The sequence below is a fragment of the Homo sapiens genome, chromosome 18, assembly GCF_000001405.40.
Source record: "Homo sapiens chromosome 18, GRCh38.p14 Primary Assembly".
Taxonomy (NCBI): Eukaryota; Metazoa; Chordata; class Mammalia; order Primates; family Hominidae; genus Homo; species Homo sapiens.
Window position 1 is genome coordinate 48,891,997 of NC_000018.10, and position 24,362 is coordinate 48,916,358.

Below are 24,362 nucleotides of genomic sequence, written 5' to 3' on the forward strand. Positions count from 1 at the left end.
TCTGTGAGACCTGGGGAGTCCACCTAACCTCACTGGGCTACAGCATCCTCATTTGCAGAGCTAACACTTACATTTTACTTCATTTCAATATAAATGGTTTTAAAATTTTTAATGAGATCATGAACATAAAGTATCTTCCCCCAGACCTAGCGTGTCATGAGTGGTCAATACAGGTTGGTCATCAGCAGGTGAACACGGCAGGGGAATGGGCCCCAGGGCGGCCACCCATCAGGGCCCAGCAGAGCAGGGACAGGGCTGGAAGGACCCTGGCACTGTGTCTATGAAGGGTGCTGAAGAAGGCCCCATCGTGGAGGGCAGGCTGGGACAATGACCACTCAGAAAGGCACAGCTGGGAGTGTCCTGCACCTGGGCCCTGACTCCCTCGTGCACACTCTGACGTTCAATCCCCGCTGGATCCACTGACTGAGGCTCTGGAGCTCCCTGGGGCTCTCTGAGGGCTGCTCTCCCATCAGGAACATGCATTGACCTCACCTCCTCCAGCCAGACTCTCACGGGTAAGAGAGGCACAAAGCCATGTGCACACACACAGGGCTGGGCGCCCGTGAGGAGGTGGGCCCTGATTTGGCAGGTGTGCATGAGGCCCCCTCCACACATGCATGCTGGTGCGGGTGCCAGCACGGCCACAGTGGAGGGTAAGAACACACTTCCAGGCGGCACTGCCAGCCCTCGCCGTGTTCCAGCTTGTTGACACCGTGATGGCATAATTACAGTTTCAATCGCAGATTAATAATAAGTCATTTTTGCAAACGAGGAGGCAGGTCTGCACTGGAAAGGGCCCCAAAGGGCCTGTCGCCTCTGCTATCTGAGGCTGCTGGCCGCCGTTTGATGTTTTCTGCCGAGTAGAGACTTTTCTAAGGACTATCATAATAACAACAACCACCCAGGTAATAATATCCTTTCATATCCCTGCCTGCCCCTTTCCTATCCATGGCCTTCTGATGGATGGAGGTGATGATGGAGTTTGCTTCAGAGATGGTATCTGGCGTGTGTGTATGTGTGTGTGTGTGTAAGAGGTGCCTGTGTTAAGATCTAAGTGCAAATGCTCAGTCACGCTGATGTGTGTCTGAGATGTCTGGGTGTGAGCATTGTGTATGTTTGGAAGTATGTGTGTGTTTCCACGTGTCTTTAGCAGTGCCAGGAGGGTCCCATCCCCGACAGAGACCGAAGCCCCTCGCCTCTCCCTTCTTCACCCTTAGGGGGACTGTGCTGGAAGATGGGGGTGGGGGACAGAGGTGCTCCCAAAGAGAGCTTTGGGGTGCAGCAGGGATCCTGGCAGGGACCAGGACAGCCCGGCTCCCTCTGGGGCTCCCAGGTAGGGCTGAGAACCTGCCCTCATGGCTCTGTTCCGAGAGGGGTTGGCGAGGAGCTAATAATAACAACAGTGACAATAACAACCACGTCCGTGTGTTCTGAGCTTTCTTTTCTTCTATTCTCTTTTATCTTTGTGATCTCTTTTGATCCCCAGTACCTCCCTGAAGGGAGGGCGGGCAGGCCTCTTGACTCCCACTGGCCCCAGTGGAAACCGGGGCTCAAGAGGAGGGGACCTGCTCAAGGGGACGCACAGTGGGTGAGAGACGTCTCCTTGGTCAGATCCCAGACGCCCTGTGTGCTGGCCTGGAGTTCTAGCCCTCCTCCAGCCTCCTACAGGGCTCCACCTGACCCTTCACGCTCTCTATAGCTGCCTGGGCCCCAGGCCAAGGGGCAAGCAGGGTTCAAAAGACCAATTCATGTTTTCCAAATTCCCTTTGAAGCCGAAAGGATGCCTGCGCCCATGGGATTACAGTGTGGCTCTGCAGGCTGGACTCCGGAGAGCTGCACAACCTCGGGCCAGCCTCTCTAGGCCTGGCCCCGCACCCCTGCTTCAAGGCAGACCAGTCACGCTCATGCAGCTGGGACCTGGCTCCCTCATAGGACGGCGACTCAGTGAGCTCATTCCCCATGGCCAAGCCTGCTGCAGGTGGTTTTAACAGCCCTGTGGGTGTGGTCCCGCCCAGGCCGGCTGCCCGCCTGGCACCCTGGGCAAGAGCAAAGGGCCCCAGAGGAGGCGAGTGGCCAAGATGAAGGCCAGGAGAAGGTGCTCACACACACTTGGCCTCCTGCTGTCCAGCCCCGCCCCATCCCCGTTGAGCCCCTGGCTCTGTCTTGGGTCCCAGTTACCTTGCATCTGACAGTCAGGCCTGGTGTTTGCTTCACTAGCAAAGGGGCCGCCATGCTTTCCTCCTGTTGAGCTGCCTGACTGCCGCAGGCAGTTAAAGCAATTGGAGGCAGCGTCTAATTACGCCCAGGTGGAGGGCCCTGGGAGGCAGGTGGGAACCATCGCTGATAGAACAAATAGAACAGGCCCATTTCTCAGCTAGGGAGACTGAGGCGGAGCATCCCTCAGTGATGGAGGATGAGTCAGGACCAGTGCTTGCCCTGAGCAGCCCCTCTGCTTGGCCCCTGCCCTGGGGCTGGGAGGCGGGAGTAGGAACCCAAGCCCAAGCCCTGCTTAAAGGGCCCACCAGGCTGGGCGTGGTGGCTCACACCTGTAATCCCAGCTTTTTGGGAGACCGAGGCAGGCAAATCACCTGAGGTCAGGAGTTCAAGACCAGCCTGGCCAACATGGTAAAACTCCGTCACTACTAAAAATACAAAAATTAGCCAGGCATGGTGGCGCCCGCCTGTAATCCCAGCTACTCGGGGGGCTGAGACAGGAGATGTACTTGAACCTGGAAGACAGAGGTTGCAGTGAACCAAGATCATGCCATTGTACTCCAGCCTGGGCGACAGAGCAAGACTCCATCTCAAAAAAATAAAATAAAATAACAAATAAAGGGCCACCCCAGAGCCCCTTCCTGGGGAGGCCTGCAAGGCCTTGGCATTGTGTCTCTAAGCCAATACTCAAGGCCCTCCCCAAGCTGACCCCAATCTACCCCTCCAATCACACCACACTTCTTAGGGCCTTGGCCTGATCAGTTTCGCCTCCTCCCACCTCCTGCCAACCCCCAGCTCCCACCCTCGATGCCATTATTTCTCCTCCTCTCCATCTAGCTGAAGCTTGGCCAGCCATTAAATCACTGCTCAAATTCCGTCTTTTTATGATGCAACCAGCACTGCGTCTGGCACATAGCAGACTCTCAATGAGCAAGGCACGAATGAATGAGTGGCTGAGTGCCTGGCCAATTGGCCCTGGCTTTAGCTGGTCACTCTGTCCCCTGACCTTTTGAGAAGTAATGTAAAGTGTATAAGCTTTTCTTTGAGTCAAGATTAATACCCTGGAAGCCAGGGGTGGCTGGGTCTCCCCTTCCTTTGTGTCTTTGGGGGCCCCAGCACATCCTAGTGCACTGACTGTGAGCCCCAGTTCACATTGTGGTTAACAGACCCAATCATGGGGAGGGAGGAACTGGGCAAGCCAATGATGGAATTTTTTTTTTTTTTTTTAGACAGGGTCTAGCTCTGACACCCAGGCTGGAGTGCAGTGGCACAATCAGGGCTCACTGCTGCCTTGACCTTCTGGGGTCAAGCGACCACCCTGCCTCAGCCTCCCATGTAGCTAGGACCACAGGTGTGCACCACCATGCCCAGCTAATTTTTTTAATTTTTGTAGCGACAGGGTCTCACCATCTCTCCCAGGCTGGTCTTGAACTCTTGGACTCAAGTGATCCTCCCATCCCAGCCACCTGAATTGCTGAGATTACAGACATGAGCCACTGTGCTCACCCTCAAAAATGGAATTTTTCTTTTTTCTTTTTCTCTTTTTTTTTTGAGATGGAGTTTTGCTCTTATCGCCCAGGCTGGAGTGCAATGGCATGGTCTCGGCTCACTGCAACTTCCGCCTCCTGGGTTCGCCTGGCTAATTTTTGTATTTTTAGTAGAGACAGGGTTTCACCACATTGGCCAGGCTGGTCTCAAACTCCTGACCTCAGGTGATTTGCCCACCTCAGCCTCCCAAAGTGCCAGGATTACAGGAGTGAGCCACCGCACCTGGCCCCAGCGATGGAATTTTTAAAAACACAGTCTTTTCTCCTCTTCATCCCGGACCCTACTCTCTAGTAACCAAGAACATTAGACATGTTCTTCTGTCTTTGTCTCATGTTTTTGTTTTGTTTTTGCCTCTGTCACCTGCTTGTAACAATAACACTAAGAACTATTGAGTGTTTCCTCTGAATCAGGTACTGTTCTAAGTGCATTGAATATAGTAACTCAGTTAAGTACTACACAATCCCAGTAGTTCTCAATTCAGGCTCAATTTTGCCCCCAGGGGACACTTGGCAATGTCTGGAGACATTTTGGTTGTCACAACTGGGGACAGGGAGTTGCTACTGGGATCTAATGAGTAGAGTCCAGAGATGCTGCTTAACACTCTACAATGCATCAGACAGGCCCCATAACAAAGAATCATCAGCCCCAAATGTCAATAATGTCTAGGCTGAAAACCCCTGCGTTAAGCCTTAGAGTCTAAGGTAAGGTCATCATCCCATTTTACTGCTGAGAAAACTGAGGCCCAGGGAAGCAAAGTCACTTTCTCGAGGTCACACAGGCAGCAGGTTGTTGTAGCCCAAGAATTCTGGGCCACAGTCCATGCTCTGGCCACTCCACTCTTCAGCCTCACCTTGTAGCAGTCTTACCTCATCTTGTTGGCCAGGACCCCCCTCCTTGGGGGAGCTGTTGGCCTACCCACAGCTTCCAGGCAGAGGGAGGACTGTCTCCCTCAGGGCCTTGATGAGGATCCCTGAGTGCCTAGCTACACTGCTTGACCTCGAGGACCCAGACGTCCTGCCCCGAACCTACCACAGCCCGGCTTCCCACGCTCACCTCCCTTCTCTGACCTGGGTCACACCCCATGTGTGGTGCCGGGCCCTGTATGGAGAACAGAAAAGGGCCAGAACAAGGGCCACACCTCCTCCTGTGTCCCCACCCCTCCAGACCCAGGGTGCTGAACACACAGTTGAGCCTTAGTCAGCCCTCTGTGGTTTGGCCTATGACATGAGGGCAGTGGGCGTGGTGTTTTTGGTGTAGACAAAGATGGAGGTGGCTTGTGGACAGATGTGAGGCTTGGGGCCATCAGACTGCCCCCAGGCGCCACAGGGCCTGGGCTAGAGAGGAAGCCACTATTGAAATGAGGAACCTGTTGGGGCCTTCCAGACAGTGGGGAGGAGGAAGAGGCCCTGTGTAGAGGGAGGGAGATGCCCGGACTGGCGCTGGCCGTCTCAGACCCCAGGCCCCTGCTTGGCCAGGCCAACAGACACTCTCCCCCTTGTGGCCAGGGTAAGGGGTCCAGGCCGGAGCCAGATGCAGGAAAGAGCCAGCTGCTGTGGTGAGAAATCTCCCCACCTGCTGGCCCAGTGTTTCTAGGGGGTTGGTAGCAAGGAGGAGGCACCGCTCCCTCTCCCAACTTAATCCGATGGGCAGGGTCTTGCACAATCCAGGATCCCAAGACTTCCTGCTGCCCAGCTCCTGGGTGCTAGAGAGGCATGCGGGGAAGGAGAGAAGGATGGCAGGAGGAGATCCTCAAAGGGATGTGAAATTGAGAAGAAGCCACAGATGAAAGATGAAAGCCTGTGGAGGAGGTAGCCAAGCCTGGGCCTAGGGAGCAATGCTGCTCCCTCCAGGAACCTCTTAGCAGGAGGCACAGGGCCTCCACTAGGCCCTTCCTTCAGCTTGGCCTTCCCAGGCTTCTGAAGGATGCCCATTTCCCGGGAGCAGCTCCCTCAGCCTTCCTGCAGTCTTGTCCTCACAGTCACACAAAGCAGGCAAGTATGCTTCCCTGGTAAACAGTCAGCTCCTCCCGCTGCTTCAGGAACCATCGCCAACTGGCAAGTCTTCTCTTCCTGAAGGAAAAGAGCTCCCTCCTGCCTCTGCAGGATGCTTTCTTAGGACCTGCTTAAAGAAAAGGGGAGGCCAGGCGCGGTGGCTCACACCTGTAATCCCAGCACTTTGGGAGGCCGAGGCAGGCAGATCATGAGATCAGGAGTTTGAGACCAGCCTGGCCAACATTGTGAAACACCATCTCTACTAAAAATACAAAAATTAGCAGGGCACGGTGGCAGGCGCCTGTAATCTCAGCTATTCGGGAGGCTGAGGCAAGAGAATTGCTTGAACCTGGGAGGCAGAGGTTGCAGTGAGCTGAGATCGCACCACTGTAGTCCAGCCTGGGTGACAGAGCAAGACTCTATCTCAGAAAAAAAAAAAAAAAAAAAAAAAAAAAAAGATGAAAAGGGGAAAGACAGGAAGAACAATAATACAAAATACATTATCACCCTTTGCAGAGATTATCTCATTCATCCTCACAACATACTCATTGCGATATCCCTGGCACCTCTAACGGTGCTGAGCACAATAAGCATTTGTGGAGAATTAAATGGGATTAGAGAACAATTCCATTACAACAGCATCAAAAAGAATGAATAACTTAGAAATAAATACAACAAAAAAGGGTAAAACTGATACTCTGAAAAATAAAAAGCCTTGAAAGTAATTAAAGAAGGTCTAAATAACTGGAAAAACAGTCCTTTATTCATAGATAGGAAGACTTTACATCACCGAGATGTCAGTACTCTCCAAGTTCACCTGCCGATTCAATGCAATCCCTGTCAGAATCCCAGCTGACTTCTTTGTAGAAAATGACGAGCTGATTCTAAAATTTGGATGAAATTGCAAGGGACCCAAAATAAGCAAAACAATCCTGAAAAAGAAGAACAAAGTAGGAGGACTCACACTTCCCAATTTCAAAACTTGCCAGAAAGCAACAGTAGTAAAGGCAATGTGGTAACAGCACAAGGAGAGACATACAGATCAATGGAATAGAATTGAGAGTTCAGACATAAATCCATGCATCTACTGATTTTTAACAAGGGTGTCAAGACCATCCAATGGGGAAAGAATAGTCTTTTCAACAGATGGTGTTGGGACGACTGGATTTCTGCATACAAAAGAACAAAGTTGGATCCCCATCACGTACTATATATAAAAATTAACTTCAATCAAATACTTAAATGTAAGAGTTAAAAACTATAAACCTGTTAGAAGAAATATAGGAATAAACCTTCATGACCTTGGATTTGACAAAGGATTCTTAGATATAATGCCAAAAACATAAGCAACACAAGAAAAAAATAGAACATCAGGTTTCATGAAAATTTAAAACTTTTGTGCTTCAAATGACACAAAAAAAATGAAAAGATAACCCACAGAGTGGGAGAAAAAAATTGCAATTGTATTCATAATACATAAGAACTCTTAGGCCAGGTGCGGTGGCTCACTCCTGTAATCCCAGCACTTTGGGAAGCCTAGGCGGGTGGATCACAAGGCCAAGAGATCGAGACCAGCCTGGCCAACATGGTGAAACCCTGTCTCTACTAAAAATACAAAAATTAGCTGGGCGTGGTGGCACGCACCTGTAGTCCCAGCTACTCGGGAGGCTGAGGCAGGAGAATCGCTTGAACCTGGCGGGGCGGAGGTTGCAATGGGCGGAGGTTGCAATGAGCCGAGATCGCACCACTGCCCTCCAACCTGGTGACAGAGCAAATCTCAAAAAAAAAAAAGACCACTTACAACTCAATAATTAAAAGACAAATAGATCAATTTTTAAATGGGCAAAGGCTATGAATAGACATTTCCACAAGGAAGATATACAAATGGCCAATAGGCACATGCACGTGAAGAGAAACTTAACACCATTAGTCATCAGTAAAATGCAAATCAAAGCTACAATGAATGAGATAACCACTTTACATCCACTCGGATGGCTAAACTCAAAAAGTCAGATAATAGCAAGTGTTGACAAGGATGTGGAGAAATCAGAACTTTTATACACTGCTGGTGGGGATGTAAAATGGTGCAGCCACATTGGAAAATAGTCCGGCAGTTCTTCAAAAGATTAAACATAGAGTTACCCTATGACCCAGCAATTCCACTCCTAGTTATATGCCCAAGAGAAATGAAAACACATGGTCATATAGAAACTTGTACACAAACGTTTATATCAGCATTATTCATAATAGACAAAAGATGGAGACAACCCAAATGCCTATCAACTGATGAATAGGTAAACACAATGTTGTACATCCATATGCAATGGAATATTTACTCAACCAAAATGAGTGAACCCTAATGTAAACTATGAACTTGGATTGATAATTATGGGTCTGTGTTGGTTCATTGATTGTAATAAGTGTACCACATTGATATGGGATTGTTGGTGGCTGGAAAGGCTGAGAGGGAGAGGAAGTGGTATATGCAAACCCTTTGTACTTTCCACTCAATTTTGCTACAAACCTAAAATTGTTCTAAAAATCTTAAAACTTTTTTTAAAGTCAAAAAAAAAAAGGAATGAAGTATTTATACATTCTATAACACAAGTGAACCTTGAGAACATTATTTTCAGCCAGTAACAAAATACCACATATTGTAGGATTTCATGTATATAAAATATCCAGAACAGGGCAATCTATAGAGATGAGAAGCATATTAGTGGCTTTCTAGGGCTGGTGCAGGGGAGAGGGTGGAGAGAAGAAAGTGGGTGGTAGCTAAAGCATGCAGGATTTCTTTTTGGAGTGGTGAAAATATTCTAAAGTTGACAGTGGTGAGTGGTAATGGTTGCCCATACCTATGATTGTACTAAAAAACCCTTGAATTGTATACTTTAAGTGAGCAAATTGTATGGTATGTGAACTATATCTCAATAAAGCTAGTAAGAAAAAGACATTATTGGGACAACTGAAACTAAATGTGCATGGTGGACTAGAAAGTTGTGTTAATATTAAAGCTTTCTGATTTTGATAATTGCAAAAAACTTAATGGACGTCCCTATAAGGTACTATCATTATTCCCATTATATAGATGCAGAAAGTGAGGAAGAACAAGGTCAAGTTACTTGTCCAGGATCACACAGCAGCCTAAGAGCCCTTAGTTTTTACCTCCTCCTTGCTTCTCTTAGCACCCTGGTCTTTCCCTTCATAGCACTTATCACAATTGATAATTTTACATGTTTTGTTCTGCAAGATGATAAGTTCACTGACGATAGTGACAGGTCACCTCTGATCATCACTTCTCCATATATTTAAACAAATATTTATTGAGCCTACTGTGAGCCAGGCCTGCATGCACAAAGGTCGGTGAGAATATTCTAGTACAGGGCTTGGCTCATAAGTGGATGCTCAACAGATATTTGTAGCTAGGATGGAAGGGTAGATGAGTGTATGGATAGGTAAATGGATGAATGGATGGGCAGATGGCTGTGTGGATAGGTAGATAATTGGATGAGTGGATGGATGGATGAATGGATGGATGGATGAGTGGATAGATGGATGGATGGATGGATGGATGGATGGATGGATGGATGATGTGGGGATGGGTAGATGGATGGATAGGTGGATGTGTATGTGGATGGACAGATGAACAGATGGGTGGGTTGAATGGGTAGGTGCATAAGTGGAAAGGGAGCTTCTGGGAAAAGGCTGATTGGGCTTGCCCAGGCACAGTACCTGGTGTCATCCTCCTCACCTAGCTATCTTCCCCTTCCTACCTCAGCCTCTACCCAGGTCCCCATCTTCAGACCCATCACATCCTGAGAAACACACCCACTGTACAGACCCTCCTGTCTTCCTCCACCAAGGCTGTCTAAATCATCCTTCAAGGCCTTGCCAGGCCCCACTCCTCCAGGAAGCCTTCCTAGCTCATGTGGTCTGCTTCTCTTCTGCACTCCTAATTCACAATATTGATGGACAACCCATATCATCACATCGGTCATCCTGAATAGATGCTCCTGAGATGCAGACCTGGAGCCTGGGAAGGGCCGGGCTTCCTCCTCCTCTGCTGTCCTAGGGGCTGGTTAGTGACAGGCAGGGGGTGAAGCCACTGCATTGGCTACAAGGCAGGAGTCACAATCTCTCCCTTGATGGAGAAGGAGGACCCGGGTGAAGCCCTTGCTAGGGGCACAGGCAGGAGGAAGATCTCAGCCATGCCAGCTTCAGAGGAACTGCCAGGCCAACCCTGGGGGAGGCTGGGACCAAGCCCGACCCTCAACCAGGCTGGGGCTGGGCTGAGCTGGCAGGAGGACGCAGGCAGGCAGGAGGCTGTGCGGGTGCCTCCCTCCCCTCCTCAGCCCGGCCCGACCAGCCCCCAGGCAGGCTGGAGGCCTGTTTGCCTTGGCCCCGGGCCAGGGCCGCCCCGCCAGTGAGTAATGCGTGAGGACCGCCTGGCTCCGGTTCAAGGGAAACGGGCTGGAGACGAGACGGGGCCTTCTAGGCCTTCATGGGGCTAGGTTCCGGGGGCGGCTTCCCAGAAAGTGCCTGCCGAGGCTGCGTTGGGGCCACTGCCAGGCCAGCCGCCCTCCTTCCCCTTTCTCCATCCCCTTTTCTCCCCTTCTTCCTCTGTAGAGACCGAGGAAAGGCAGATCTTGAGCTCCCAGAAAAAGATCATTAGGCATGGCCCAGGACCCAAGGAGAAGGAGCTTGTCAGGACCCCAGCCATCTACCCCACACACCTAACAGAGCCAGCCAGTCCCTGGTCCATTAACCCACACTTTCTGAGCACCCAGTCTCTGAAAGGCAAGGACTTGCTGTCAGGGAGAGCACGCGAGTTCAGGGCATGGGGCATGGGCAGCTCAGAAGCTCTCAGTGCTGGTCCTGGAAGCTGTGGCGCCGGACAAGGCCTCCCTATTTATCTGCCCACATTCCAGGGCTCCTGATGAGGACGCTGCAGCCCAGAGAAAAGGATGGACTTGCCCACGCTGCCCAGCGAGTTAATTGCAGCAAGGTAAGAGCCCATGCCTCCTGCCCATGGGACTCTAGGCCCTGCTGCTCTGAACAGTGGCCTTCTCCTTCAGCTTGCGTGGCTGTCATGATGAAGGGCCACTGCCTAGGATGGTTCTATTTTTCAGTTGCATCCTCCTGGAGCATTTCCGGGGCTTCTGTAACTTTGCGACTCTGCCCTTGGTGAGTGGTATCTTTCTGCTTAGGACCTAAGTGACCACCTGGGTGGAGAAGACACCATGGTCATCAACACCTTTTGGAGGCACAGAGATTCCCAGCCCTCTGGGAGATTTTGCAGCCAACCATGTCCCTATGCCTCTCCAGGCCTCTATCCATGGTCAGTCTTCCTAGTTGCAAAATACAGAACATTATTCTGGCTGAGTTAAGCACAAAAGAAAAGTCATGAGGGGATCCTGGGTAGGTCACAGAATCAACAACATGCCAGAGAACTTCTCCACAGCAGGGGTGGCTGCCAAACCACACCACAGTGCTGGCCTCCTGAGACCCGCACTGGCCCTGCCACAGAGCCCCAGAAGGCTCCTCTCTTTCCACTGACATCAGCACTAGACACCAAACGCTGGACGCTGCTGTTGGCCTAGCCGTCCCTGCTGCCCCCTAGAAACAGGATGTGACCACTGTCCACCTCCGGAATGATTCTCCTACATCCCTGCTTCTCTATTCCCAGACCCTGATCCCAGGACCAGGATGAGGGCATCTGATTGGCCAATCCCAGGTCACATGACTGTACTTGGTCACTAGGGAAGCTGGGAAAGCAAGTATCTTGCTCATTATCCTCTCAATAAGACTCAAGTAAGGGCCGGGCATAGTGGCTCATGCCTGTAATCCCAGCACTGTGGGAAGCCGAGGCAGTGGACCACCTGAGGTCCAGAGTTCGAGACCAGCCAGATCAACATGGTGAAACCCTGTCTCTACTAAAACTACAAAAATTAGCTGGGCATGGTGGCGCATGCCTGAAATCCCAGTTACTCAGGAGGCAGAGGCAGGAGAATGGCTTGAAGCCAGGAGGCAGAGGTTGCAGTGAGCCCGAGATTGCACCACCGCACTCCAGCCTGGGTGACAGAGTGAGACGCAGTCTCAGATTTAAAAAATAAAAATAAAAAACAAACAAAAACAAAACAAAAAAAGACTCAAGTAAGAATTCCCCTAAACCAGATAGAGAGCCAGATGACAGTAGGCTAATCTACAAAAACAAATGTCCTCTCTGTTTCATTCCCCCACCTCCAATTCTTTGTCTATCTCATTATCTGCCCAGACTCTCAAAGTGGACATATGCAGAGAAGTTTGTTGCTGAAAGAGCTTTGGGGTTCAGCATGTAATTGCACTATGTCAGTGAAATTCTTAGCCTAGGACATGGCACTTAATAGGTATTGAACAAAGTCAAGCTCTCCTCCCTGACAAGTACGCAGATGGGCCAGCTGAGGTGGCCTGTGGCTCTGCTAGTTGGCCACAGGATCTGTCCTGGGTTACTTGACTCCTCTCTCTGCTTTCCCATGGCAGACAAGGACAGGGATTAGAAGAAAATGTCATATAAAGTGCTGCAGGATGTGATTCATTCCGACAGAAGAGACTGGAAGCCTTCTTGAAGGAGTAGATGTTTGAGCTGGACATTGAAAGAAGAGATGGGTTTCATCAGCTAGAGAGCAGGGAAATGCATTTCAGGCCAAGGGGCCTGTGTGGAGATGTGGAGATGTGGTTTTTTACAAACAAAATAACTCAATGTTGGATGTTACAACATACTCTCTGCCCTAACTAGAAGTATGGATTAGCAGGGGGCAGCATGCGAATCGAGACAGTGCCCAGGAGGCCCCTGAATTGTTCAAGCCAGAAGCCAGGAGTGCCTAAGCTGAGGCAGTGCCAGCAAAACAAAAACAACTTGACATCCAAAAATTTCCAGTCCAGGGAGAGAGGAAAAACACATGGGGAAGAGCAGAGGGGAATGGAAAGAATGCGACTGCCTTTTTAGGCAGGTGGCTTTTGAGGTGCTGGATTCAGTCCTCAGGGTCCCTTTACACAGTGGAACCAAAAGTAATCAAGAAAGCAACAGGATAGAGTATTCCCCTGCAGGGGGTTCTCCATATAGTTTGAGGCATGAATGGGCAGGGAGTGAATCCCTAACAGGCAAGCTCTGGTAACACCTGGTGGCCCCTAAAAAACCCTCACCTTGTGAACAGGGTGGGTGTAGTCATTTGCAGGGCTTTAGTTTTGCTAAGTGCAAGTCCAGGGCCAGAGTGGAATTGCTGAGACAACAGACCAGAGGCTGAAGCTGCCAGTGGGTCCTTCTTCCCTTGTCTCTTGCTGTGAAGCCCTTGGTTATGCTTAGAAGAAGAAGAAAGAGAAGGAGGAGAAAGGGAGATGGAAAGAAGGAAGGAAGGAGGGAAGGAAAGAAGGCAGCAAGGAAGGAGGGAAGGAGAGAGGGAGGAAGGGAAGGAAGGAAGGAAGGAAGGGAGGAAGGGAAGGAACGAAGGAAGGAAGGAAGGAAGGAAGGAAGGAAGGAAGGAAGGAAGGAAGGAAGGAACGAAGGAAGGAAGGAAGGAATGCAGGCAGGCAGGCAGGCAGGCTACTTAAAGACAATTGGCACCAAAATGAGGGACTAAACCAAGAAAGGTAAAGTCATGGGATGCCGGTAACGAGGGATCCCACCCAATAGAAGGTGGAGGGATGCTTCAGGGTGACTGCTGTGCATCAGGCCTATGAGGCAACCTGTCCAGACTAGGGCAGAGGGCTGGAGACTCCAGAAGGGGAAAAAATTGAACTGACAAACTATCTGGTAGGTTTAACATTGAGAAAAACTATATTGAGAAGTAATTGAAGAGTGTGGAAACCAATGGCAAAAAATACAATGGACTTGAAGCAAATGAAAAGAACCTAGACAACTCAACTTCAGAAATACCAACACATTGTGTAAAAATAATAGATGCAATCATAGTATACTATATGACTCAGGGTGTACAATACGGGCATAGTCATAATAATGTAAGTGTTGGCCACTGGAAAGGGAAGCAATGTGATGCTGCAAGAGAGCTAATCCCCAGCTAGGAGGTTATTAGATGATATCTAAAATTGATGTATCAAGAAACATAAGAATAAGAATATTATTTTGGAATATGGTGATATACAGTAGTACCCCACTACCCTTGAGGGATATGTTCCAAGACGCCCAGGAAGCCTGAAACTACAGATAGTACAGAACCCTACATATTTTTTCCTGTGCATATATACCTATGACGAAGTTGAATTTATAAATTAGATGTAGTAAAAGATTAACAACAATAATAAAATAGAATACCTAAGACAACGTGTCAGCATCACTACTCTTGGGCTTCGAGGCCATCATTAAGTAAAATAAGGGTTACTTGAACACAAGCTCTGCAATACGATGACAGTTGCTCTGCTAACAGACACTACTAAGTGACCAATGGGTGGGAAGTGCCTACAGCATGGACACACTGGACAAAGAGATGATTCACGTCCCGGATAAGACAGAGCAGAACAACACGAGATTTTTATCCGCTACTCAGAATGGCACACAATTTAAAACTTATATATAAATTGCTTCTTTCTGGAATTTTCCACTTAATATTTTCAGACCATGGCTGGGCACACTGGCTCACGCATGTAATCCCAGCACTTTGGGAGGCCAAGGTGGGCAGATGGCTTGAGCCCAGGAGTTTGCGACCAGCCTGGGCAACGTGGCAAAACCTCATCTCTAGGCTGGGCGCAGTGGCTCACGCCTGTAATCCCAGCACTGTGGGAGGCCAGGGTGGGTGGATCACTTGAGGTCAGGAGTTCAACATGGTGAAATCCAATCCCTACTAAAAATACAAAAAAATTAGCAGGAAATGGTGGCACATGCCTGTAATCCCAGCTACTTGGGAGGCTGAGGTGGGAGAATCATTTCAACCTAGGAGGCAGAGGTTGCAGTGAGCCAAGATTGCGCCACTGCACTCCAGCTTGGAAGACAGAACAAGACTCTGTCTCAAAAAACAAAAAACAAAAAACAAAAACAAAAACATCTCTACAAAAGATACAAAAATTAGTTGGGTGTGGTGGCACACACCTGTAGTTCTAGCTACTCAAGAGGCTAAGGTGGGAAGATGCATTGAGCCCAGGAGGTCGAGGCAGCAGTGAGCCAAGATCACACCACTGCGCTCCAACCTGGGTGACAGAGCAAGATGCTGTCTCGAAAAAAAAAAATACATATATATATATATCTCACACATATATCTATCATATATGATATATATCACATATATATAAAAAATGATATATATATATATCACAGGTAACTGAAACAGTGGAAAACAAAACTGCAGATAAGGAGGGACTATTGTAATCCATTCTAATGAAATTTACCCCTGAAAAGTAGCATTGGAGAAATTAAGAAGGGCTTTAACATTTTATTTAATGCATTATTGTGTCTTTTGAATATTTGATGATGAATATATACTATTTTTACATTTTTAATGAATATTTTATATATCCCTAAAAAGTTATAGTGATAAATACTGAAAGAAACAGCTTGAAAAGTTGAAAGGGTTACTTCTGGGGAATAAACCTAGGGTGGGAGAGAAACAACAGTGGACTGCAATTTTTTATTATAAGACTTTCAATACTACTCGACTTTTAAAATTTTGTGTATGAATTACTTTGAAAAAAATTTTTAAGACAAATGACCACAAAGAGTAACAAACCCAGAGAAAAAAATAGGCAGAGGACATAAACAAGAAATCCACAAAAGAAACAGAAATGTCTCCCAAACACATGGAAAAAAAAAATCATCCCTACTAATGATGAACGAAAGCATCAGAAGTAGCTGCGTGTTCATGAACCTGGAAATATGTTCTCATTACAGCATTAAGTGTGTTTGTGTCAGGGAATGAGCAGTTTAAAAAATCATACAATAGTGTCATTTTGTAACAATTTAAGCATTCATTCAGCAAATTTTCTGTGAGCACCTATTATATAGTGAGCACATAAAAATGTATTTTTTTAAAGTCTGAAATGAGTTGTGTTCAGATGTCAAGAAGTTCTCTGTAAAAAACACAAGAGGTGATTTTCACAAAATTCTTCTCCCTTTGTATTTGGTGGTTTTTGTTTTGTTTTGTTTTGTTTTTTGAGACAGAGTTTTGCTCTTGTTGCCCAGGCTGGAATGCAATGGCGCTATCTCGGCTCACCACAACCTCTGCCTCCTGGTTTCAAGCGATTCTCCTGCCTCAGCCTCCCGAGTAGCTGGGATTACAGGCATGCACCACCATGCCCTGCTAATTTTGTATTTTTTAGTAGAAATGGGGTTTCTCCATGTTGGTCAGGCTGGTCTCGAACTCCCGACCTCAGGTGATCCACCCGCCTCGGCCTCCCAAAGTGCTGGGATTACAGGCGTGAGCCACTGAGCCCAGCCCTCCCTTTGTATTTGTTAATTTAGTCTCTAATATTTAAAGAGGGAACATATCTTGCTAAGGAGATAAAAGTAAATAGCAAAAGAAATGAATCACCTATTTTGAGCACTCCCAAAATAAGAAATAAAGCACTGACAATTGGTTTGGATAAGCACCCAATTATTAACCTGCTCAGACACTATAGAGACTGTATCACATACTTTTTTTTTTTTTTTTTTTTTTGAGATGAAGTCCCACTCTGTTGCCCAGGCTGTGCAGTGGTGTGATCTTGGCTTACTGCAACCTCCGCCTCCTGGGTTCAAGTGATCCTCTTGCCTCAGCCTCCTGAGGAGCTGGGACTACAGGCACACACCACCATGCCCAGCTAAATTTTTTTGTATTTTTAGTAGAGATGGGGTTTCACCATGTTGACCAGGCTGGTCTCGAACTCCTGACCTCAGGTGATCCGTCTACCTCAGCCTGCCGAAGTGGTGGGATTACAGGTGTGAGCCACCATGCTTGGCACACATCCATTTTTATACCTCAATCCTCGACAGCATCATGCACATAATAGGTCTCCAGATAAACAACTGAATAATCAAAACAAGCAGGGGCTTGTGTGGTGTGGTGGTCAGGGGCTTACTGTATGTATGTGAGCCTCCAACATGCAAATGGGTACTGATAAAAACTACACAGTGTTAAAAGGATCCACATGAGTGATGCATATAAAGCACTCAGCTCCGTGTTTGGCAATAGGTAAGAATTCAAGAAAAGTTGGATGCTATTAATAATAGTAGTAGTTGTTGTTATTGTCATTGCTGTAATAGTAGCTAGGACCCCAGAAATTCCACCACTCATGCAAGTGCCCATGTGCAAGACAGTCCCCTCAGCAGTCCTGAGAACAGCAACCTTTCCCTCTTTCTCCTCTTCCTCTTCCTCCTCTTCTTCCTCCTCTTCTTCCTCCTTTTTTTCCTCCTCCTCCCACCCCCTCCCGCTGACATTCTCTCTACCCCATTGCTCACTGACTACCTGAGAGCAAATACGTGGGGACAGCACAGGCTCAGTCATCACCTGAGGCTGACCACCTGGTCCCAGGGATTAAAAACCACAACGTGCAACTCCCATTCCCTCCCTGGGTCACATCATACATAAGGCACTGTCCTACATGCAGCTCATTAGGTGCTGGAAGAAAAGGAAGAAGGGGACAAACTTAGGGTAAACAAGACTGAATTTTTGGAGGGGATGCCTGCCATTGACACTTCTTTAAAAATATAGACTTTGGCCAGGCGCGGTGGCTCAAGCCTGTAATCCCAGCACTTTGGGAGGCTGAGGCGGGCAGATCACAAGGTCAGGAGATCGAGACCATCCTGGCTAACACAGTGAAACCCCGTCTCTACTAAAAATACAAAAAATTAGCCGGGTATGGTGGCGGGTGCCTGTAGTCCCAGCTACTCGGGAGGCTGAGGCAGGAAAATGGCGTGAACCCGGGAGGCGGAGCTTGCAGTGAGCCGAGATCATGCCACCGCACTCCAGCCTGGGCGACAGAGCAAGACTCTGTCTCAAAAAAAAAAAAAAAAAATATATATATATATATATATATATAGACTTTAACTGATGTATAACACATGTAGAAAAGTGCACAATTTTCACAAACTGTACACCCCGTGTAACCAGCCCTAAGATCAAGAAACAGGACATCATCAGCCCCTAGAAGTTCTTCTCGTGCCCACTTCCTGACATCTAACACCACAAATTGGTTTCGCCTGATTTTGAACTTTATATAAAGGGAATCATACAGTGTAGACTTTTCTGTGTGTGCCTTCTTTGGCCCAGCGTTATAACTGTGCAGATCATCCTGCTGCCGTGTAGAGTTGGAGTTCTTTCATGCCCATTGTTGCATGATGTGCACTGTGTAAATAACCATCGACTTTTGACAGATATTTGAGTTGTTTCAGTTTAGAGCTATTATCAATAGTGCTGCTATTAATATACTTTATTTTTTTATTTTGAGACAGAGTCTCACTGTGTCACCCAGGCTGGAGTGCAGTGGTGTCATCTCACCTCACTGCAACTTTCGCCTCCCAGGTTCAAGCGATTCTCCTGCCTCAGTCTCCCAAATAGCTGGGATTGCAGGCATGTGCCAACATGCCAGACTAATGTTTGCATTTTCTTTAGTAGAGGTGGGGTTTCACCATATTGGCCAGGCTGGTCTCAAACTCCCGAACTCAAGTGATCTGCCTGCCTAGGCCCCCCAAAGTGCTGCGATTACAGGTGTGAGCCACTGTACCCGGCCTGCTGTGAGTATTCTTGTACATGTTCAAGAATATATTCACTAAAAGACACATATATTTTAGTGAATATATGTGTGCATTTCTGATGCAGGTATGATTCTCTTTAGCTTTGGTAGATACTGCCAAAAAGTTAACCAGTTTATACCCCCAGCATCATCACACAAGAGTTCCTGTTGCACCACGTCCTCACTCCCATTCAGTACTAAGTAGCATATCTTTAAATGAACACTAGCATCTTTTAAATTCTGCTCCACTACTAGACAACCATGAAAATGAATAATCTCCAAAAATGTCTGTGATGTATCATTAAGTGACATAAGCAGGGCGCAGGCTGATATGTAGAATGTGACTCCATTGGTGAGAATTGTATATGTGCATATGTAGAGGCAGAAGCCAATTCAGAAAGGGGACATATCTGAGTCTCCAGCATGCTCACCTCTGGGGAGTGAAGTTGGAGGGCATAATTTAAATGATGAGGTTAGCGCTAATTTTTACTTTTGATACCATTTTTCAATATTTTTAAAATTCAAGAAAAAGATCTGTATAAGTAAAATAAAATCACTCACCATTCCATTATCTAAGGCTGGCAGCCAGACTCTGTCATTCTTGTTATTTCCCAGCATGCGCTCCTGCTCTGGAATTACCTCGGGCAGGGCCTCTGGGACAAGTCTCCCGGGCACTGTAATTTCCCTGGCTGCAGTGTGTCATTAGAAGATTTGGTGCTGATGACACGACGCCCATACACAGTGAACATTACAGCCCCGGTTGGGACAGGACAGCTTGGCCAAGGAGCAAGCCCTTCCTGCAGAGAGACCCCCAGAGTCTCGAGCTGCCTCAGTGGGATCAGGCCTTAGCGTGTTTCTGTCTCGACCTTAAGGAACAGAAGCTGGGAAAACTACTCTTTCAAGGCTGCTGGTGTCTCTAGGCTCCCCTGGAGACCCAGGGCTCAGAGCAAGGGCTGTGGAGTTAGGCAGACCTGGGCTTCGGTTCTACCACGCTTTTGCTGTGAGTCTCTCGCTGGGCCTGCAAGTCTTCACCTGTAAAATGAGCTAATGAGAGCGCTTACCTTAAAGACAACACAACGTAGGCCAGGCGCGGTGGCTCACGCCTGTAATCCCAGCTACTCGGGAGGCTGAGGCACGAGAATTGCTTGAGTCTGGGAGGCGGAGGTTGCAGTGAGCAGAGATCATGCCATCATGCCACTGTACTTCAGCCTGGGTGACAAGAGTGAAACTGTCTCAAAAAAAAAAACAAAAAAAAAAAGTACCTTGCAGAGAGTGCCTGGCACATACTTAGCCCTAAGTAAACGCAGGTTTTTGTTATTATTATTGTGGGTGTAGTTGTCGCTATTACCACCACCCTAAGAGGTAAAGTTTTGCATTCACCTTTTGGGAGAAAAGAATATAATAATGTGCTTTTTATTTTCACTAGTGTTATAAAGTAAGTACATACCCACTTTTCTTTTCTTTTTTTTTTTTGGAGATGGAGTCTCGCTCTGTCCCCTAAGCTGGAGTGCAGTGGTGCAATCTCGCTCACTGAAGCCTCTGCCTCCCAGGTTCAAGCAATTCTCCTGCCTCAGCTTCCCGAGTATTTGGGACTACAGGTGCACACCAGCTAATTTTTAATAGAGGCTGGGTTTCACCATGTTGCCTAGGCTGGTTTCAAACTCCTGAGCTCAGGCAAGCCGCCCACCTCGGCTTCCCAAAGTGCTAGGATTACAGGCGTGAGCCACTGCACCTGGTCCCATACCCACTTTTCTTGGGGAAAAGGGAATTTGGCTGAGCACAGTGGCTCATTCCTATAATCCCAGCAAGGCAGGAGGATCACTAGAGACCAGCAGTTGGAAACCAGCCTGGGCAATGTAGCGAGTCTCCGTCTCAACAAAAAAATTAAAAAATTAGCCAGGCAGGGTGGTGCTCACCTTTAGTTCCAGCTATTTGGGAGGCTGAGGGCAGGAAGATCATTTGAGCCCAGGAGTTCAAGGCTATGATCATGCCACTGCACTACAGCCTGAGCAACAGAGACCCTGTCTCTAAAAAAAAAGAAAAAAGATAAAAAAAAGGAATTCACCTGGAACTTAAATTCATATATTTTAGTTGAAAAGTTAAATAGTCATTCAACATTGATCCATCCAATATCGGTTGAGTGCCTTCTATCCCTTCTATGTGCTGGGCATTGTTCTAGATTCTGGGGTTATGGCAGTGACCAGAGCAAAGTCCCTGCTGTCACAGAGCTCACACTCTACTAGGGGCCTCTGATAATAGTCAAGCCAACAAACAGATATATAATAAAATGTCAAACATAGGCCAGGCACGGTGGCTCACACCTGTAATCCCAGCACTTTGGGAGGCCAAGGCAGGCGGATCATGAGGTCAAGAGATCGAGACCAGCCTGGCCAACCTGGTGAAACCCCATCTCTACTAAAAATACAAAATTAGCCAGGCATGGTGGTGTGCGCCTGTAGTCCCGGCTACTCCGGAGGCTGAGACAGGAGAATCACTTGAACCTGGGAGGCGGAGGTTGCAGTAAGCTGAGATCATGCCATTGCACTCCAGCCTGGGCAACAAGAGCAAAACTCTGTCTCAAAAAAAAAAAAAAAGGCAAATGTGTATATAATACAGTAAGTATAATGTCAACCACCAATATGAAGAAAAATCAAGCAGGATAGGCAAGAGGAGCTGGGAACGTGGTCTGATGACTCTAATCAATGTGTTCACTGGAGCCGGAGCTCTGCTCTGAGCCTCTCTCTCCTTGCCCAGAGGGTACTGGCTTTGGCCAGGTTAAAGTGGCCCCTGGCCTCAACCAGATGAGGTTGAGGAGAAGGTGAAGAGCCGTTTCAAAGACTACGTAGCTGAGGAGCAGGCAAGGGCAGGGTTTCATCAGAGAGGAGCCCTGGACCAGGTGGGAGACTGTGCCCTTGGAGGACACCTGGTGGCAGTCCCTCATGGGGCACCACTGGAGAGGCACTTCATGCCAATTACAGCAGGTATTTACTCATCACCTACTACGAGCCCAGTGCTGGGCTTTGTACTGTGACTGTGAAAGGATTCAAGTAAGCATGAGGGCTGGGCTCGTGCCTGACCTCAAGGAGCTCCCAGACGCTGGAGATACAAGACCCACCTCCATAAAAGAAAGAAGCAAGCCAGATTCTGCAAGGGACTGAGTGTGGGGCACAGGTCACATAATCATCTGGATAGGCAAACCTCCAAATCTCAGCCACAAAGAAAAAGTTCCACATTCAAACAAAGTCTGCAGCGGGCCCAGGGGCTCTCCAGAGCAGCCATTCAGGATCCGAACGCTTTTCCATCTTCTGTCTCCATCATCCTAAAACATATCTTCCAGGTCCCTGTGGCAGAGAGAGAGAGAGAGAGAGAGAGAGAGCTGGGTCACCCTGCACCAATTTTTCAATGCTTTAGCTTGGAAGTGACACATGGCACTTCTCACAGCCCATTGGCCAGAACTGGTCACATGGTCCCAAACAAACTGCAAGGGAGGCTGGGAAATGAGGGAAATGCATAAGTATTCCCTGGGAATGAAATGTCTCGACCCCAGGTCACTCATTACTGCTGGGATCTGGGCAGGCAGAGTGCAAGACCTGGAGTTTGAAATGGGCATGGGACAGAGTGGTGAGCACCAGGCTTTGGACAAAAGAGCCCTGGGTTAGGCTTAAGGAAAACTGCTCGGCCACCTCTTGGCTGGGTGACTTGTGTAAGTCGCTCATCTCTTTTAGCCTCAGTTTCTTCTAAAATGGGGGTAGTCAGAGCTCCCATCCAGAATCATTAGAGGAACGTGTATCAAAGGGCAGTCTACACTGCGGAGAATGGATTCAATACAGTTGTCTATGACACATCTCTATTTTCTTTAAGGTTCAAAGCAGTCCTAATATACACACTCTATTTCTGTCCCCAGCGCTTCTGTGTCCCACTGATCTTACACTTTTCCACTAAAATGCCCACTGCAGAAGAGAAACTGCCAGGGCCTGGGGCCACCACCTAAAGCAACATCAAGGGCAACCACGTGTCCTTGAAGTGTCTTGTTTTTTCTCAACAATTCAGGTCAAGTTTGCATTCTACTACGTAAGATATAAGGGCTTATGGTAGAAACAATTGTATTCCTTCTCCCCCTAAGCTTCCACTAAAATGGCAGCTCCAGGCAGCTCCAGGCTTAGCAAGAGCTTCCCCTGGCACCTGGGCACATGTCCATGGCAGACTCTGCCTCTCAAATCCCCAGGAAGGCGGGCACAGGCTCCCTAGGAAGAGGCTCCCAGCTCTCCCAGGTCTCCGTGGCTCTCATAGCTGTTTAAATGGACCCTGCAGTGGGCCACCCCCGACCCAGGCAGCGCGTCCCTGCCCAGCCTCTCACCCCCAGCCCAGCCAGGAAATTGTCCCTGAATTAATCAAAGCACTTGCACTAGTCCCAACTCACCAGAGTCCTCCTCCAGCGGCCACTTTGTGTTGGGTAGATTAATTGCAGCTGGGGGAGGGGAGGGAATCCATTTTTAGAAAATCATTACTTTCAGAAAGAGAGCGGGGTTCTTCTGGCTGAGGGAAAACTGCTGAGCTAGCAGCTCGGGCCTCCTGCTTGAGAGCCGCCAGGAAACCAGGGACTGTGCGGGCTGCTCCTGGCTCCAAGGGTGGCAGCCTGGGCCCACGCACCCCTCCTCCTGAGGCCAGGACACCCCAACCCTGCAGCCCTGGCTGCTGGTGGTCTTTGCTTCCTGCCCTGGCCTGGACTCAGCAGTTGGATGACATTTTGAGCAGGAAGGAATCGCCTCAATATTGGCCACCCCCCTACTATCCATGGACTGGCTTTCCAACTGTCTTCTCTCACTTGCTGCAAAATCCACCACCCAGAGGGCACCACCAGCCTCTGACTGCAGCTGCGGGATGAAAAGAAGGGTGGGGACCCCTGATTACGGCTGGCTGCCTTGGATTAAGTATCTCATAAAGTATCTGAAATTGCCATTATTGTGGGTCAACATGATCAGATATTAGCAATCCCACGTGGTTCAACCTAATTAGCATATGGTCAGCTCTTCACATGAATTTTCTCCCCAGTCCCGATTTTAGCCTCATGAAAGTATAATACACACTTTGTGCTTTGGAAATTGAGGTTCAGAGAGGTTGTGACTTGCCCAAGTGAGTGCTCAAACCCAGATCTGTCTGACCCCCAAACCGGTGACTGTGAGCCACATCCTATTTCACATCAGGCCCCCACCTTGCCTGCCCCCAGCACACCCTCAGGGACAATCAGGAGTTGCTCATTGAGGGCACACCGGCTGAGCTGACAAACAGGTCCTTTGCAGGCTGCTGAGTGTTGGGAGCTTAATAGACCCAGCGAGAAGTCATCGCTTGCTATAGGTTTGGGTGCAAATCCAGCTTCCATCACAGGCTGTGCATAGGTGGTCCCGGGCAAATCACTCACCCATTGGAGGGTCAGGCCCTTCCTGAATCAGGGAAGGCCTGCCCACGTCCTCTGCGGCGTGGGGGCACAGGCAGCATGACCCTTGGTATGCACTGACAAGTACAAATGGCAGGTGTTGTTTCTGTTGCTCAGCAGTCAGATCAGCTTGGTCCTTCCAAACCAGAACTTGTTTTAGAAAAAACATATACCCAACTCCTTGAGCCAGGCCTGCCCAGAGAGATTAGATAACACAGAAGTGATGAAATCTGATGCTATCGCTTAACAGCTGGGAGACTGTGGGCAATTCTTTGAACCTATTTATCTGTAGAATGGGAGTGATGATCATGGTATCCACTCGCAGAGTGGCTGTGAGGATCATATGGGACAATCCCAGTGTAAAGTGCTTAGAACACTGCCTAGCACAGAGTCAGGACATACTCAGTGTTGCCTCTTGATGATGAAGATGATGACAATTATTCCCAGCCCAAGCTAAGCCCACAAATATGCCTCGTTCATGA

General features: G+C 48.4%; 1 long non-coding RNA gene across 1 annotated transcript, besides 6 other annotated features; it reads right to left on the minus strand.

Moving 5' to 3' along the window:
* Positions 1,157-1,666: an enhancer, noted in NCBI's record as "H3K4me1 hESC enhancer chr18:46419523-46420032 (GRCh37/hg19 assembly coordinates)". NCBI's record gives its function as "activates a minimal SCP1, AML or CMV promoter by ChIP-STARR-seq in primed H9 embryonic stem cells {active_cell/tissue: H9 hESC(primed)}" and the evidence as "EXISTENCE:reporter gene assay evidence [ECO:0000049][PMID:30033119]".
* Positions 2,175-2,682: an enhancer, noted in NCBI's record as "H3K27ac-H3K4me1 hESC enhancer chr18:46420541-46421048 (GRCh37/hg19 assembly coordinates)". NCBI's record gives its function as "activates a minimal SCP1, AML or CMV promoter by ChIP-STARR-seq in naive H9 embryonic stem cells {active_cell/tissue: H9 hESC(naive)}" and the evidence as "EXISTENCE:reporter gene assay evidence [ECO:0000049][PMID:30033119]".
* Positions 5,104-5,333: an enhancer, noted in NCBI's record as "active region_13302". NCBI's record gives its function as "activates an Ori minimal core promoter by ATAC-STARR-seq in GM12878 lymphoblastoid cells {active_cell/tissue: GM12878}" and the evidence as "EXISTENCE:reporter gene assay evidence [ECO:0000049][PMID:35858748]".
* Positions 5,104-5,577: a biological region, named in NCBI's record as "Sharpr-MPRA regulatory region 7610".
* Positions 5,283-5,577: a silencer, noted in NCBI's record as "tiled region #7610; K562 Repressive non-DNase unmatched - State 5:Enh". NCBI's record gives its function as "represses a minimal TATA promoter and a strong SV40 promoter by Sharpr-MPRA in K562 cells {active_cell/tissue: K562}" and the evidence as "EXISTENCE:reporter gene assay evidence [ECO:0000049][PMID:27701403]".
* Positions 5,384-5,433: an enhancer, noted in NCBI's record as "active region_13303". NCBI's record gives its function as "activates an Ori minimal core promoter by ATAC-STARR-seq in GM12878 lymphoblastoid cells {active_cell/tissue: GM12878}" and the evidence as "EXISTENCE:reporter gene assay evidence [ECO:0000049][PMID:35858748]".
* Positions 6,495-22,663, minus strand: LOC124904355 (uncharacterized). Its single transcript, XR_007066464.1, has 3 exons — positions 21,562-22,663; positions 19,508-19,655; positions 6,495-6,685 (listed from the first exon to the last, which is right to left on the minus strand). It is a non-coding gene; the product is annotated as an uncharacterized LOC124904355 (long non-coding RNA).
* Positions 22,664-24,362: the final 1,699 nt, after the last annotated feature.